Source organism: Homo sapiens, chromosome 11, assembly GCF_000001405.40.
Source record: "Homo sapiens chromosome 11, GRCh38.p14 Primary Assembly".
Taxonomy (NCBI): domain Eukaryota; kingdom Metazoa; phylum Chordata; class Mammalia; order Primates; family Hominidae; genus Homo; species Homo sapiens.
In genome coordinates this window covers 71,551,079-71,567,579 of record NC_000011.10, presented here as the reverse complement: position 1 = coordinate 71,567,579, position 16,501 = coordinate 71,551,079, and the positions used below count along the sequence as shown (strand labels likewise).

Genomic DNA, 16,501 nt, shown 5'->3' with positions numbered 1-16,501 from the left:
TTCTCTCAGAAATTTGTCTTGGAAATTCCCACTCTGCTCTTCCCCGGCAGTATCAGCAGTCGCTTAGATCTGTGAGTGTTCTGTGGGAGCTCATTTCTCACCAGCACTCCCTGTGTGCTGTCTTCCCTCCACCTTTTCCCTCCGGGTTCGCTTGGCTGGAGATTGTCCTCAGATCACTCTTGTCTCCTCCTCCCCAGTGCGTGATTTCTAAAGCCTTGCCTGTGACACTGGTCAGAGAACAGGCTCAGCGTGGTGGCATGTCACCATGAAACAGATGGACTTGGCTCAGGGTCCCCAAATGTGTCACTTCCCAGGAACTCTCCTTTCCTGCCGGGAGACTGAGCTCCGAGGACACCTTGGGCCATTCTGTAACTTCCTGGTTACCTTTAGTTATGGAAAGCCGTTGACCTCATAATTGTAAAAGGCTAATTGAATGTTTGAATCAGAGTGCGTTGGAGCTCAGCGGTGCTTCACTCCTCCCTCCTCCGACCTTGCCCTGCCTGGGGTCCTTCCGAGGCCCCAGAGGAGAGCGGGAAGCTGGAAGCCATGGGTCTTGTGCAAAGCCCTGCTTGGCTGGTCGTCAGGACTCAGGGCCTGCCTGCCCCTCTGCGCCTCTAGGGCGGGCATTGAATGCTGAATCCTCCCGGGCTTTGCCCTCTTCTCCTGCGAGCAGAGACTGAAGATATTTGAGGCTGAGAGGAGGACAGAAGGGAATGGCAGGTTTTTTTGTGAATGTACCAGGCCTGCTGGCAGGCGTTTCCCAGCTTAGCTGACAGATCAGAACGCAGAATCAGTCACTGCACAGGAAAGGGGTTGGACAGAATTGCACCAAGCATGCAGCTGATTTACAGACATGAGAGGCTTTATTGTAAGGAAATTCATTCATTACTTTGTTATTGTTTTTAAATAGATGGAGACAACAGGAAGGAAGGAGACCTTCCTGGTCACAGGTGGCCACTGGAGAACAGGCAGCGAGCGGCCCTGGAGGATCCAGGGTCCCAATGGTGGTTGAGAAGCTGGTTCTTAGTGATCACTGAGCAACATTGGCCTGGCCTTGTGGGGTCAGACCTTGCATCTCAGTCAGCCGAGGGAGAAGAAGAAGATGGTCCACACCCAAGTGCAGGGAACACCATGGCAGTTGGCTGGGTGCCCGCGTCCAGGCAAGGCCACCTCCTGCATCAAGGAAACATGCATTTCCGGAGTGAGGAGGCTGAAGGCAGGGCCCAGTGGAGAGCTGAGCCATGGAAGGAGGTGCGTGCATGGATGATGAGCTGGAGAAGGGGCAGGTGCCTCAGGGAGGATGCGTGGGATGAATTAATTCAGGGAAATCATAACAAATGCTTTCACCAAACAGGTGAAACCTGAAGGTCTGGGTTCAGAGCCTCAGATCTTACACTGGCAGCACACGGGGACACAGCAGCTGGACTGACAGCAGCAGGGCTTGCAGCAGCTAGACTGGCAGCACACGGGGACACAGCAGCTGGACTGGCAGCAGCAGGGATTGCAGCAGCTGGACTGGCAGCAGGATCCACAGCCTGAGGAGCAGCAGCAGGGCTTACAGCAATTGCACTGGGAGCAGCCACAAGAACCACAGCCCCCCTTGGAGCCCCCACAGGAACCACAGCCACCTTTGGAGCCCCCACAGGAGCCACAGCCCCCCTTGGAGCCCCCACAAGAACCACAGCCCCCCTTGGAGCCCCCACAGGAGCCACAGCCCCCCTTGGAGCCCCCACAGGAACCACAGCCCCCTTTGGAGCCCCCACAAGAGCCACAGTCCCCCTTGGAGCCCCCACAGGAGCCACAGCTGGAGCAGGAACAGGCTGGCACACAGCAGCACACGGGCTTGCAGCAGCAGACGGGCACACAGCAGCTGGAGCCACAGCCCCCACAGCCAGAGCCATAGCCCCCACAGCCGGAGCCACAGCCCCCACAGCCGGAGCCACAACCCCCACAGCCGGAGCCACAGCCTCCGGAGCAGCCACAGCAGCCCATGATTCTGGTAGATTGAGGGTGGATCAGGTAGAGGAGCAGGTGAGAGGGAGGTGCAGGTGTGGAGCTCCCTGAGCCCGGGCTCTTTATATACCTGTCCAGATGTCAGGCAGGACACAGGGTCCCTTTCTTGTGACTGTTTACATTATTTTTCCAGAGCTCTGTTTTTTTCCTTTTTGCTAGTGACTTCCTCCTGGCTCAGTTGAGCATCTACTTTCTTTGTATGCTAAATTTGTCTTTTTCCCCGTTTGTTTTGGCCCCTATAATTAAAACCTCAACTCCAGGCTGTCTGGTACTTCTTGCAAAGCTCCAGGGTGCTGGTCACCTGCTCTCTGCTGACCACATGTGACCAATGGGCAACAGCCTCTGCCCACATGCTCTCATCTTTCCTGTGTTAACTCCCCCAGTAATATTAATTTTACATTTTCAGATTTCAAAAGTTATCCATGGTCTTTATATTTTACTCATACCAGTCTCAGCTTTCTGGGTGTGTTAGACCATTCTTTGCATTGCTCTAAAGAAATACTTGAGGCTGGGTAATTTATAAAGGAAAGAGGTTAGAATGGCTCATGGTTCTGCAGGCTGCACAAGCATGGCACCCACCTCTGCTCAGCTTCTGGGGAGGCCCTCAGGGAGGTTTTCCTCATGGTGGAAGGCGAAGCAGGAGTAGGCACGCCACATGGTGAGAATGGGAGCAAGGGGTGAGGAGGGGCCACACACTTGCGAACAACCAGATCTGAGTGAACACACTCATCGCCAAGGAGATGGCGCTAAGCCAGTTATGAGGGATCCGCCCCCATGACCTAAACACCTCCTTGCAGGCCCCTCCTTCAACACTGGGGATTACATTTCGACAAGAGATTTGGAGGGGACAGCCCAACTATGTCATTATCCCCCTGACCCCTCAAATCTCATGTCCTTACATCACAAAATAGGATCATCTCTTCTCAACAGTCCTCTCAATGTCTTGACTCATTCCAACATCAAGTCTGAAGTCCCAAGTCCAAGTTCCTTCTACCTATGAACCTGTGAAAATCAAAATACATTATTTACTTACAAGATGCAATGAGGGTAGAAGCATTGGGTAAACATTCCCATTCCAAAAGGGAGAAGTCAGCCCAAAGGAAGGGGCTACGGACCCCATGCATGTCTGAAATCCAGCAGGGCAGCCATTAAATCTTAAAGCTCCAAAATAATGTCCTTGGACTCCCAGTCCCACATCCAGGGTACACTGGAGTGAGGGGTGGACTCCTAAGGCCTTGGGGAACTCCACCCTCGTGACTTTGCAGGGTTCACCCCCTGCAGCTGCTCTCATGGGTTGGAGTTGGGTGCCTGCAGCTTCTCCATGCTCAAGATGCAAGCTGTCAGTTGCTCTACCATTCTGGGGGCTGGAGGATGGTGTCCTCCTTCCCACTGCTCAGTTAAGCAGTGCCCCTGTGGGGATCATTTACACAAGTAAAAGATCCTTCCCCACCCCTCACCCCTGTGGTGATATCTGTGCCCTTGTTCTTCACAGGGCACCCCAGTGGGGTGTGTCCCATGCACCCGCTTCCAGCCACCCTCCTCTTTCTAGCTCACTTTCTCCAGTGCTTTCATTCCACCAGAACTCTTGGTGCATTGATACAACCACGGCTTCACTGATCCCCAACCTCTCTGATACCTCTTCTTGTTTTGTTAACAGCTTTATTGACATATCGTTCATATACCACACAATTCTCCCATTTAAGGTATACAATTCAATGCTTTTAGTATATTCACAGAGCCGTGTACCTATCACCATAATCAGTTGTAGAAAATTTCATAACCTCATGCCCTTTAGTACCCCCCACTCACTACCCCACAGGACGGTTCTCCAGGCGGCTTCAGACCAATGCAATTCTCCCCGTGTCTCACTTGTGGTTCTCAGGCGTGACTGCAGAGGGAGCTGAACCGACATTTCTGAAAGAAGACGTACAAATGACCAACAAGAGCTTGAAGGAATGCTCAGCATCATTCATCATCAGGGACACGCAAGTCAAAACCACAATGAGGTGTCCTCTCATCCCACAGAATGGCCATTATCAAAAAGGCAAAAATAAATCCTGCAGAGGAAGTGAAGAAAGGGAACTCGTATGCTGTTAGTGGGAAGTTGTACAACCACTAAGGAAAACTGTATGGAGATTCCTCAAAAAGCTAAAAATAGAGCTAACCCAGCAATCCCACTATGGGGTGTGTATCCAAAGGAAAAGAAATCAGTGTGTTGAAGAGATATCTGCACCCCATGTTTATCACAGCACTGCTCACGATAGCCATGATATGAAAGCACCTAAGTGCTTGTCAACAGATGAATGGAAAACATGGAAAAGTAATGAAAAGGAAAAGATGGTGTATACACACAATGGAATTCTATTTAACCCTAGAGCAGAACAAAATTCTGCCCTATGTGACAATACAGGTGAGCTTGGAGGACATTATGCTAAATGAAATAAGCCAGGCACAGAAAGATGAACTGCATGATCTCACTCACAGGTGCAAGCTAAAGAAGTTGATATCTCACTGGTCCCCATAAACATGTACAATGATCATGCTTCAATTAAAATATTAATAAAGAAAGAAAAAGAATAACTGTAGAATATGCTGGGAATGCAACATCCTGAGTTAGGGAGGGACTGGCCAGAAGAGTCGGGCTTTGTCCCAGTTCCTAGAAACAGGATATTCTTTCGTGCTTTAGTGCAGTGAATCCTGTAGCCCTGGGACATAAGACCGAGGGCAGGCGGCTTTCTGGGATCCCTCAGCTGTGGTGTGAGTGGGGCACACATGGATAAGACTCAGCTCACCTGGGAAGCTTTGCTGAGGCTAGAGGGCTCCCAATGAATCCGAGGCTCCTGTTCTCCCTTGCTGCCTGTCTGTAACTGGTATACCCACTTCCTGTGACATATGTGAGTGTCTCACCTGAGTCTGATAAATGGGTAACATTAGTAGTAGCCAGAGGCTACTACTAATTTACTTTTTGTCTCTCTCTATTTTTCTATTCTTGAAATTTCATACCTGTGAAATTATATGATATGTGGTCTTTTATAATTTCCTTCTTTCACTTAGTGTAATGTTTTGTGGTTCATCCATGTTGCAGCCTGAAACAGAACTTCATTACTATGATAAATTATTTACACTAATCTTCCTTTGTATGAATACACCATTCATTCCTCAGTTGGCAGACATTAGACTGTTTCCACCTTTTGGCTGTTGTGAGTAATGCTGCTGTGAACATGGGTGTGCCAGTTTTTGCATGGAATGTGTTTTCATTTCCCTTGGGAACATCCTTATGAGCAGAATTGCTGGGCCCTATGGTAACTCTCTGCTTAAGTTTTTGAGGAACTGCAGACTGTTTTCCACAGTGGCTGAGCAATTTACATTCCCACAGCAGTGCATGGAGGTTCCAGTGTTTCTGCATCCTTGTCAACAGTTGTTATTTTATTTTATTTTTATTTATTTATTTTTTAGAGACAGGGTTTTACTGTGTTGACAAAGCTGAAGTGCAGTGTCATGATCATAGCTCACTGCAGCCTCAACCTCCTGGACCCAAGCAATCCTTGTCTCAAACTCCCCAGTAGCTGGGACTACAGTTGTGCCTCATCACACCCAGCTAAATTTTTAATTTTTTGTAGAGACAAGGTCTTGCCATGATACCCATACTAGACTCAAACTCGTGGCCCCAAGGGATCCTCCCTTCCAGCCTCCTGAGTCACTGGGATTACAGGTACAAGCACACCCTGCCCCAATACTTGTTAATGTCTGACCTTTTACATTATATTCATCCTAGTGTTTGTGAAATGGTATCTCATTGTGATTTCAATTTGCATCTCCCTGTTGAATCATGATGCTCAGAGTCTTTTTATATGCTTGTTGTCATTTGGGTATCTTCTTCAGAAAATGTCTAATTAAGATTCTTTGCCCACTTTTTAATTGGGTTATTTGTCTTTTTATTACTGAGTTCCACATCCAGAAGAATAAAACTGGGCCGCTAACCAGATCACCATATACAAACATTAATTCAAGATGGATTAAAGACCGAAATGTAAGACCTCAAACTATAAAAATCCTAGAAGAAGACCTAGGAAATCACCTTCTTGATATCAGCCTTGTTAAAAAAGAATTACGGCTAAATCCTCACAAGCAATTGCTACAAAAACAAAAATTGACAAGCGGGACGTAATTAAACGGAAGAGCTTCTGCACAGCAAGAGAAACTATCAGGGAGTCAACACTCAACCTACAAAATGGGTGAAAATATTCACACACTGTGCATCTGACAAAAGTCTAATATCTGCAATCTACAAGGAACTTAAATCAACAAGCAAAAAACAAATAACTTCATTACGAAGTGAGTAAAGGATATGAACAGACACTTCTCAAAAGAAGACATGCACATGGCCAACAACTATATGAAAAAATGCTCCACATCACTAACTATTAGGGGAATGTAAATCAAAACCACCATGAGATACCATCTCATATCAGTCAGAATGGCTTTTGATAAAAAATAAAAAATGAAACAACACAAAACAAAACAAACCAAAAATCAGATGCTGGCAAAGCTTGGGAGAAAAGGGAACAGTTGTACACTGTTGGTGGGAGTGTAAATGATTTCAGCCACCATGGAGAGCAGTTTGGAGATTCCTCAAAGAGCTAAGAATTGAACTACTATTTGACCCAGCAATCTCATTATTGGGTATATACCCAAAGGAAAATAAATCAATCTACCAAAAAGACACATGCATCCATATGTTCATTGCAGTGCTATTCACAGAAGCACAGATGTGGAATCAACCCAGGTGCCCATCAATGGTGGATTGGATAAAGAAAATGTGGTACATACACACCATGGAATACTACACAGCTATAAAAAAGAATGAAGTAATATCTTTTGCGGCAATATGCAGCTGGAGGCCATTATCCTAAGAGAACTAATGCAGAAGCAGAAAACCAAATCCCACATATTCTCACTTATAGGTGAGAGCTAAACATTGAGTCCACATGGACATAAAGATGAAAACCATAGACACTGGGGAACAAGAGGAGGGAGGAAAGGAGGGAGGGGGCAAGGGCTGAAAAACTATTGGGTACTACAGTCACTACTCCAAACCTCAGCATCACACAATATATCCATGTGACAAATCTGCACATGTACTGCTTGATTCTCAAATAAAAGTTGAAGAAAAAGTTCTTTATATACTCTAGATGCTAGACGCTTATCAGATATCTGATTTGTAAATCTTTTCTTCCTTTATGTAGATTGTTCTTTCACTTTGTTGATAGTATCCTTTGATTCAAAAATATTTAACTTTTGATGACATCCAATGTATTTGTATTTTTCTTTTGTTGCTGGCCCTTTTGGTGTCCTATCTATCAATCCATGCTAAATCCAGGTCATGTTTTCTTTAAATAGTTTTATAGATTTGACTCTTACATGTAGGCCTTTGGACCGATTTTGAATTAATTATTGTGGTGTGAGGTAGGGGTTCAGCTCATTCCTGTGCATGTGGATGTCTAGTTTCCCAGCACCATTTGTTGAAGTACTGCTCTTCCTCCATTGAATAATCTGGCACTCTGTCAAAAATCAGTTGGTCATCTACACGAGGGTTTATTTCTGGCTCTCAATTCTATCCCACTGGTTTAATACATCTATTCTAATGCCAGTACTAAACTGCCTTGATGATTGCAGCTTTGTAGTAAGTTTTCAAATTGGCAAGTGTGAGCCCTCCAACATTGTTCTTCTGTGTTCTTTCTTTCTTTCTTTTTTTTTTTTTTTTTTTTGACGAAGTCTCACTCTGTAGCCCAGGCTGGAGTGCAGTGGCACAACCTTGGCTCACTGCAAGCTCCATCTCCCGGGTTCACACCGTTCTCCTGCCTCAGCCTCCCGAGTAGCTGGGACTACAGGTACCTGCCACTACGCCTGGCTAATTTTGTTATTTTTAGTAGAGATGGGGTTTCACTATGCTAGCCAGGATGGTCTCCATCTCCTGACCTCGTGATCTGCCCGCCTTGGCCTCCCAAAGTGCTGGGATTACAGGCGTGAGCCACCACACCCCGCCTGTTCTTCTTTTTAACATTGTTTTAGCTATTCAGGGTCCCTTGAGATTCCACACGAACTTTAGAATCAGCCTGTGAATATCTGCAAAGAAGCCAGCTGCTTTCCTGATAGAGATTATAGACTCTGTAGATCAATTTTGGGGATATTGCCATCTGAAAAATGTTAAGTCTTCTGATACATGAACATCAGTCTGCTTGGGCTGCCATAACAAAATACCACAGATTTGGTGGCTCAGACAACAGGCATTTATTTTCTCACAATTCTGGAGATCAGAAGTCCAAGATCGGGTGCCAGCAAATTTAGTTTCTGGTGAGTGCTCTCTCCTTGGGTTGCAGATGGCTGCTTTCCCACTCTTTGCTCACATGGCCTTTCCTTTGTGTGTGGAGAGAGAAAGAGATGGAGGGAGGAAGAGAGAGAGAGAGAAAGAGAGAGAGAGACAGAGGCACATGCTCCCTGGTGTCTCTTCTTATGAAGATGCAAATTCTATGGAAGCCCTTATGACCTTATGTAACCTTAATTTCTTCCTTAGAGAACTCGTCTCCATACACAGCCACAATAGGAGTGATGGATTCAACATATGAATTTGAAAGAACATAAATATTCAGTCCACAACAAATCTGGGATGTTTTAGATCTTCTTCAGTTTCTTTCAACAGTGTTTTGTCACTTTCAGATTTGCAAGTGAGTAGAAATACAATTGATTTTTATATATTGGTCCTGTATTCTAAAAACTTGCTGGATTCATTTATTAGTTCTATAATCTATAAAACATTGGCTGAATATGATGGCTCATGCCTATAATCCCAGCACTTTGGGAGTTCGAACCAGGCAGATCACATGAGGCCAGGAGTTCGAGACCAGCCAGGCCAACATGGTGAAACCTCATCTCTACTAAAAATACAAAAACTAGCTGGGCATGGTGGTGGGGCATGCCTGTAATTACAGCTACTTGGGAGGCTGAGACTGGAGAATTGCTTGAACCCAGGAGGCAGAGGTTGCAGTGAGCTGACATTTTGCCTCTGTACTCCAGCAACAGAGTAAGAACCTGTCTCAAAATAAAAAATCTATAAAACATTAGTAGCTCTGACAAATTGACAAGTAGAAGACAAACAACCAAGTTTTTAAAAAGATGACTCTCTGATAAACAAATGGAAATGTGCAATTAAAAATATAAAAAGTAAACCAAACTCCCTGGTGGTCAGATACATGGGAATTTTCTGTGGAGTCCTAATGATGGAAAAGGAGCCAGGTTGGTTGGACCAAGGGAAAGCAAAAAGAGAAGGTAGATGAACTACAAGTCTGCCTTTCTTCATGGTGCAGGACTTAGCCCTCCTGCGCAAATAACTCACATAACTCACAATCTTCCTGCACTCAACTTATGACCTCAGTTGACAGAAAAATGCAGGTTAGCTCACTGAAACCTTGGCATTATCAGCACTGCATGTAACCCTCTCCGGCACAAGCACCATCCTATAAAATCCCCAGCAAGCCTTTGTCTCCTGGCAGCCAGCTCCTCCCTTGCTGACCTGCCCTTTCCATTCTTGCAACGTATTTTCCTACATTCTCTAATAAATCTGCCTTTCCTTACCTACAATTGTCTTGGTAAATTCCTTTACTGCCCACGCCAGTGGCCCCAGTTAGTGGTTACCTGCAACATTTTATATCTACTAGACTGGCAAAAATTAACAAGAATAATAACACCTATTGCTAGTGAAATTGCGGGGAAAAGGCACTGTTTTACATTGTTCAGGGGATATAATTTATTATAGTATTTTTTGAAAACAATATCTAATAAAATTAGGTAATATCAATACTATTAGTCTTGAAATTACTGAAAATAAGATTAAATGTAAACATATTTATGTATACATATATGTGTATGATACATTGTTTGCAGTGTCAGAAAAAGAATCCTAGCAAATTGAAAATGAATACTGAAAGTAATGCCCAGTAAAATATTAGATTGCAGCTGTACCAGTGGACTTGGAGCCTCAAGGCTCTGGCTAATGTGAAATGTAGATGCAGGGAAATGAGCACAGCAGGATCTTATTTTAGTAGCAAACAACAAAAATATCTCTTACACATATGTTGAGTGTGTGCCTGGAGGTACATAGGACAGTGGCTGGGTGGAGTGGGGAAGGTGTGTAGGAATCAACAAAAAGAAAATGGCAATGAAAAGTGAGACCAGTATGTGTGATCTTACTTATGGAAAAATTTCATATATATGAATATGCATATGCATAAAGAAACATAGACTTATACCCAGATCTACTTCCTAGGAGAGGCAACCATGTTACAGCTTTTAGTGAAAAAAGTTAAGTTGCAAAGAAATGTGGATAATAAAATTCTAATTGGTAACAATACCCAATCATGTATGTGCATCTATTCTTTTATACATTGTATGTGCAAGCAAGAGGGTTGGGTGGGCGTGCCTGTAGGGCCTGGCACTGGGGGTTGTTTTTATTATTTTTTATTGTGTATAATGTAAGACATACAATTCGATGATCTCATATATGTCTACATTGTGAAATAATCACCACAGTCAAGATAATTAAGATATCCGCCACTTCACATAGCTCTCTCTCTCTCTTTTCTTGGTGGTGAGAACATTTAGGATCTACCCTCTCAGTACATTTTAAGTACACACTAAACACCGTGTTGTTACCTGTGGTCACTTTGCTATGTATTGGGTCTCCAAGCCTTATTCATCTTGTAGAACTGAAGCTTTGGATCCCTGGACTAGCACCTCCTCATTTCCCCTTTCCCTGCCTGTGGTTCCCGTGCTTGCACTCTGTGCTTCTGTGAGTTTCACTCCTGTATACTCCATGTGTGAGGGAGAGCATGTGGTGTCTGTCTTTCTGTGTCTGCCTCTTTTCACCCTGTGTAATGTTCTCCAGATTCGTCCATGTTGTTGTAAGTAACCAGATCTCCTTCTTTTGAAAGCTGAGGAATATTCCATATATACATATATAGATGTATGTATATATTCCACATTTTGAAAAAGTCAAATACATAGAAACATAGAATAGAACAGTGGTTACCAGGGTCTGGAGGAAGAAGGAAAGGGGGAGGAGGAGGTCAAGGGCTTGCAGTTGTGTAGGAGAGGGAGCCGAGCAGTCAAGTGCACAGTGCAAGGACTACCGGTGACAGGTGCTGTGTGCTGCAAGTGTGCTGAGAGAAGACTCCAGGTACTCTTACCACACACACATACACACACACGCATCATACACACACACACTCACACTCATACACACACATAAATACACACACTCAGTCTCACACACACACAATTAAAACACACCTTACACACACTCATACACACATAATCATACAAACACACACATACATATGCATACGGACTCATAAACACACTTATACAAACACACTCATGCACACACACTCATACACACACATACAAAAGGGAACCATGGAAAGTTTTGGAGATATTAATTGTAGCCATCATTTCAGTTGTGTACATATTTACCACAACACCATGTTGTCCACCATGAATATATACAATAAAAATAAATGTAAAAAATACGTGTCTTGGGAGAGTCCTTCATAATAACACCTGAGAGGTGTCACCTTTCTTGACTTTTTCGGACTGTGAAATGCATCTGCCAAGGTTGGCAGACGTAGGGACCTGACCTCCTGGGCCCTCACATGCCCAGTTATCGTTGGCCTTCCGGACTGGAGCAGTTTGTAGACCCTGGAAGCAGGGCCCCAGCACTGACTGCTTGACCTCAGGCCTCTGCCCCATCGGTGGGCAGGTGGCGGCCACTAGGGTGTGGGAGCTCGGCCATCCCTGCCTCCTGGAGCGGACGAGGTTGGCGGCTGCTCAGCCTGCTCCTGCCCCACCCTTGCCTCATGGACCCTGGTAGCGTCACTGGCTCAGCCTTGCTGGGCACGCACAGGCACAGCATCCACTCTGTCCCAGGTGGCTTGCCCTGCTTTTGGCCAAGTTCTGGGTCTGGCCACTGCCACAGAAGTCTCAGTCCCCTGTGTGATCATCCTGGCTGCTGCTGGGTGCCCATGGCACCCCTGGTGCCCCTCCCTTTACAGGGCTTGGGTGAGCACCAGGCCAGGACCCTCTGGGACAGGGACTTGTGCCCTGTCTGGGGTCCCTGTCCCACAGGTTGGGCCAGAGGCCATACGGCATGCTGCTGGCTGGCCATGGCTGAGGGAATGTGACACTCACCCTTCCCTCTGGCAGCCTCCAAGTGACCAGTTTCCCCGTGGATATTAATTTCCTGAGGCCAGGAGCCATCTGGGGTACAGGGCAGCCTGCCGGGTGCCATCCTGGCCCCTTCCACACCGTGCTGGCCACTGCCTGTCATGGGGGTCGGATGCAGGCGATCCCATGCAGGAGGTGTCTCTGGACCTGCCTCTTCTCTTGCTTATCACAAGGCCAGGTCAAGCCTGGTGTCAGGACCCTGATAAGGTTGCAGGGCCAGGCCTGTCCCATGGGCCTGGGGTGTCCAGGGCACACATAGAGGAAATGGGGGCCCTGCATCCTGGCTCCTAAATGTACTGTGGAAATCATGGGCCCTCAACATCCAGGTCCGTGGGAGGCATCCACAGAGACTTCCAATGAAGGAAACACTGGACAACTCCTGGTCTCTCCTGAGTTGGGGACAGGCCAGCCACACCCTGAGTCCCTGGGGACCCCCAGAGAGTGACCCACTGCCATGGACTCTGAGGAAGCACTCTCATTTTAGAGCACAGGGGATGTCGTGGCCCACTCCTCTCAATTTTGCTGTGAACCTAAAACTGCTCTTAAAAAAAAAGTCCATTAAAGGAACTAGCATGGGCTGATGCGGAGGGGCTCATTCACCCCTCAGTTGGACACTGTGTGGCTACGAATCCACCCTCAGACCACAGAGTGGGTTTTGACAGCAACACCACACCCTAGCCTCATCCTGAGCTCAAATTTAACTCAAATAAACCAGGCCCTTTTTCTATTGTTCTTAGCCACCATTAAACCAGGTCATTCGTTCTGTGTTTTTGCAATTGGCTTTTAAACAAAAGAGCTGGGTTTGGTGTATATTTCTTTGTCAAATGTTTTTTCCGCAATTCTGTAAAAAAGCAGAAAAACAGGCCGGGCGCAGTGGCTCACGCCTGTAATCCCAGCACTTTGGGAGGCCGAGGCGGGCGGATCACGAGGTCAGGAGATCGAGACCATCCCGGCTAAAACGGTGAAACCCCGTCTCTACTAAAAATACAAAAAATTAGCCGGGCGTAGTGGCGGGCGCCTGTAGTCCCAGCTACTTGGGAGGCTGAGGCAGGAGAATGGCGTGAACCCGGGAGGCGGAGCTTGCAGTGAGCCGAGATCCCGCCACTGCACTCCAGCCTGGGCGACAGAGCGAGACTCCGTCTCAAAAAAAAAAAAAAAAAAAAAAAAAAAGCAGAAAAACAAATGAATTTTCATGAGGACATGGAATATAAGAACTTGATGCTTTAGAGTAAAGGGATTATGGGCAAGTTTCCCTTATTTTCAGAATTATTTTGTTTGTGGCTGTCACGATGTCATTGTGCAAGAAATAAAAACTGGTAGAATGAAAAATTAAAAAAAAAAAACACCATAACTACAGTCAGAGCACCCTGGGGTGTCGGTATCTTTTATTGTGAGCAGCCCTGGCTGGGGATCACACCCACACCTGACCGTGGGGGCTGCAAAGCTGGAATGGCAATTAAAATGCACAGCCCTGCAATCAGGTGCTAATTATAAGGTAGGGACACAACTGGCGAGGAGGGCATTTGCTGAAACTCTTGGGATGAAATCATCCGGGTGGACATAGGTGAGCCAAAAACTTGGAATCCCCAAATTTCCCTGAACTCTAAGCAGCCTGTCCTGGCCCACCCTAGTCACCCCCTCACACCCACCCACCCCCAGCTAAGGTAGTCCCATCTCCATTAGAAAGACCCCTTCAGGGACTTCATCTGAAGCAGTCGCCACTCAAGGACCCACCATCATCCCCAGTTCCACAAGAGAGGTGGCTCCCAGAACAGCATAAGCAGAAACAGGCGAGCTTGTCCTGGAGGAGACGGCCTACACGCCAGCCCAGGCACAGGATGTCACCCGTCTCATAGTCCAGAGTGTGAGAAGGATAAGAAATGAGAGAAAGTCAAGCTAAGTGTATCTATTCAAGTGCATGTACCAGGGTTAGGGTTTTAGCCCAAAGCAGGCTTTGTGTAAAGTAATATTGCTGGGGCGTTAGTCATTTTGGGGTTGGTTCAGTGGGATACATTTATGAATTCAGAGTCCTTTCCAACTGTATTCCAATAATTTCTTATCCTTTAGAGGATGAATGACTTCCAGGACTACTCCTACCATCCACTGTGACAATTTGCCCCAGTAAGGTGACACAAAGATGAATGGCCAGAGATTGTAGATTATGTCATGATACCATGCATCCTTCAGTGGCTACCTGTGGGCAGCAGAAGAGAATCAAGGTTTGAAAGGTAGAAAGGTGGCCAGGCGTGGTGGCTCACACCTGTAATCCCAGCACTTTGGGAGGCCGAGGCGGGCGGATCACGAGGTCAGGAGATCGAGACCATCCTGGCTAACACGGTGAAACCCCGTCTCTACTAAAAATACAAAAAAAAATTAGCCAGGCATGGTGGGGGGCACCTGTAGTCCCAGCTACTCCGGAGGCTGAGGCAGGAGAATCACTTGAACCCGGGAGGTGGAGTTTGCAGTGAGCCAAGATTGCACCACTGCACTCCAGCCTGGGTGACAGAGTGAGACTCCGTCTCAAAAAAAAAAAAAAAAAAAAAAAAAAAAAAAAAAAAGGAAAGGTACAGAGGCAGAGCTGGTTTTCAGAAATGTCTTCCAAATACTATATCTCATATAGGAAAGCAATTCGATGACATCTCCCCAAATTTGATAATCCTAAAAATTAACATAGTTATTGATAGTGAGCTATGAAACTAAAAACAACCTTTCTAAACTATTGATAATACAAATTTTTAAGAGAGCAGTGCTGGAAGAAATAATGAATTCTCCCCACCATGCCCCCAACCATTAGCATTCGTAGGAACCTCTAGCTGATGCCAAGAAGGAAGGAGGAGCTTGGCTGCCCTAAAGCTTCTCTTGGCACCACCCATGGGAATGGCAGGAGGCAGGGAAGGGGCTGCAGGCACACCCTGGGGGAGAAGCAGGGGCCGCTCCACCAACGCGTGGAGAACACGAAAGGCCCTGGGGATTCCCACATAAACTCACTCAGGTGGGACATGCAACCCTCTGCCTACAATGGGGGCTCGGGTCATTGTTATGGGGCCAGTGAAGAGCCTGTGCCTTGGCAAGCAGAACACCGTGGTGACCTTGGGTAATAGAGAGGTCATGAGATGCCCGAATACACAAATTACATGGGAGCAACCAAAATGTTAGCACTCTAGAGATTGGGGTTATGAGTAATTTGTTGTCTTCTACAATTGTCTATCATTTTTAACATTAAAACACTAAAATTTAAAAATGATATGGGGATAACATCCAGAATATGAATATGTCCATGTATGACTATACCACATTTTGTTTACCGACTCATCAGTTCATGGACATTTAGATGGTTCCACTTGTTGGCAAATGAGAATAAGGCTGCTATGAATATCATCATATGAGTTTTTATGTGATATACATTTCAGTTCCCTTCAGTAGTTACCTAAGAGTGGAATTGCTGAGTCATATGGTAACTCTACATGGAACATTTGAGGAACTATTTTTCAAAGTAGTGGCATGATTTTTTTATTTTCATCCAATGCACAAGGGCTCCCATTTCTCCACATTCTCATCAGTGCTTCTTATTGTCTTTTTGATAATAGCCATCCCAGAGGATGTGAACTGCTATCTTATTGTGGTTTTGATTTGCATTTCCCTGATTTTCCCTGATGTCTAACAATGTTGAGCTCCTTTTCATGTGCTTATTAGCCATTTGTATATCTTCTTTGGAAAATGCCTATTTAAATCCTCTGCTGGGTCTTTAATTGGATTGTGTGTTTGAGTAGTAAGAATTCTTTATATGTCTAGATGCAAGTTCTTATCAAATATATGATTTCAAAGTAGTTTCTTCCACTCTGTTGGTGTATCTTCATTTTCTTCATAGTGCCCTCAGAAGCACAAAAACTATTCGTTTTGATGTAGTTAGTTAATCTAGTTTTTCCCTGTGGTTTTGGTGTCATTATCTAAGAACCATTTCATACTCCAAGGTCATGAAAACTTAACCTGTTTTGCTTCTAGTAATCCTCTAGTTTTGGCTTTTACAATTAGGTCATTGATCTATTTTTTCTATTTTTTTTTTGTTTGTTTGGTATATGGTATGAGGTCAAGATTCAAATTCACTCTTTTGCATGTGGACATCCAGTTGTCTTAGCAGCATTGTTTGTTGAAAACATTCCTCTTTTCCCATGGAATTGTATAGTACCTGTGAAAATACATTGACCACAAC

The 16,501-nt window shown here is 45.6% G+C and overlaps 1 protein-coding gene across 1 annotated transcript, besides 1 other annotated feature; it reads right to left on the bottom strand.

The window, feature by feature from the left end:
• Positions 815-1,630: an enhancer, noted in NCBI's record as "H3K4me1 hESC enhancer chr11:71276996-71277811 (GRCh37/hg19 assembly coordinates)". NCBI's record gives its function as "activates a minimal SCP1, AML or CMV promoter by ChIP-STARR-seq in naive H9 embryonic stem cells {active_cell/tissue: H9 hESC(naive)}" and the evidence as "EXISTENCE:reporter gene assay evidence [ECO:0000049][PMID:30033119]".
• KRTAP5-10 (keratin associated protein 5-10) lies at positions 845-2,017 on the bottom strand. Its single transcript, NM_001012710.2, has one exon. The coding sequence runs from the start codon at positions 1,990-1,992 to the stop codon at positions 1,384-1,386; it is 609 nt and encodes a 202-aa protein (NP_001012728.1). The 5' UTR covers positions 1,993-2,017; the 3' UTR covers positions 845-1,383.
• Between the last annotated feature and the right edge of the window lie 14,484 nt (positions 2,018-16,501).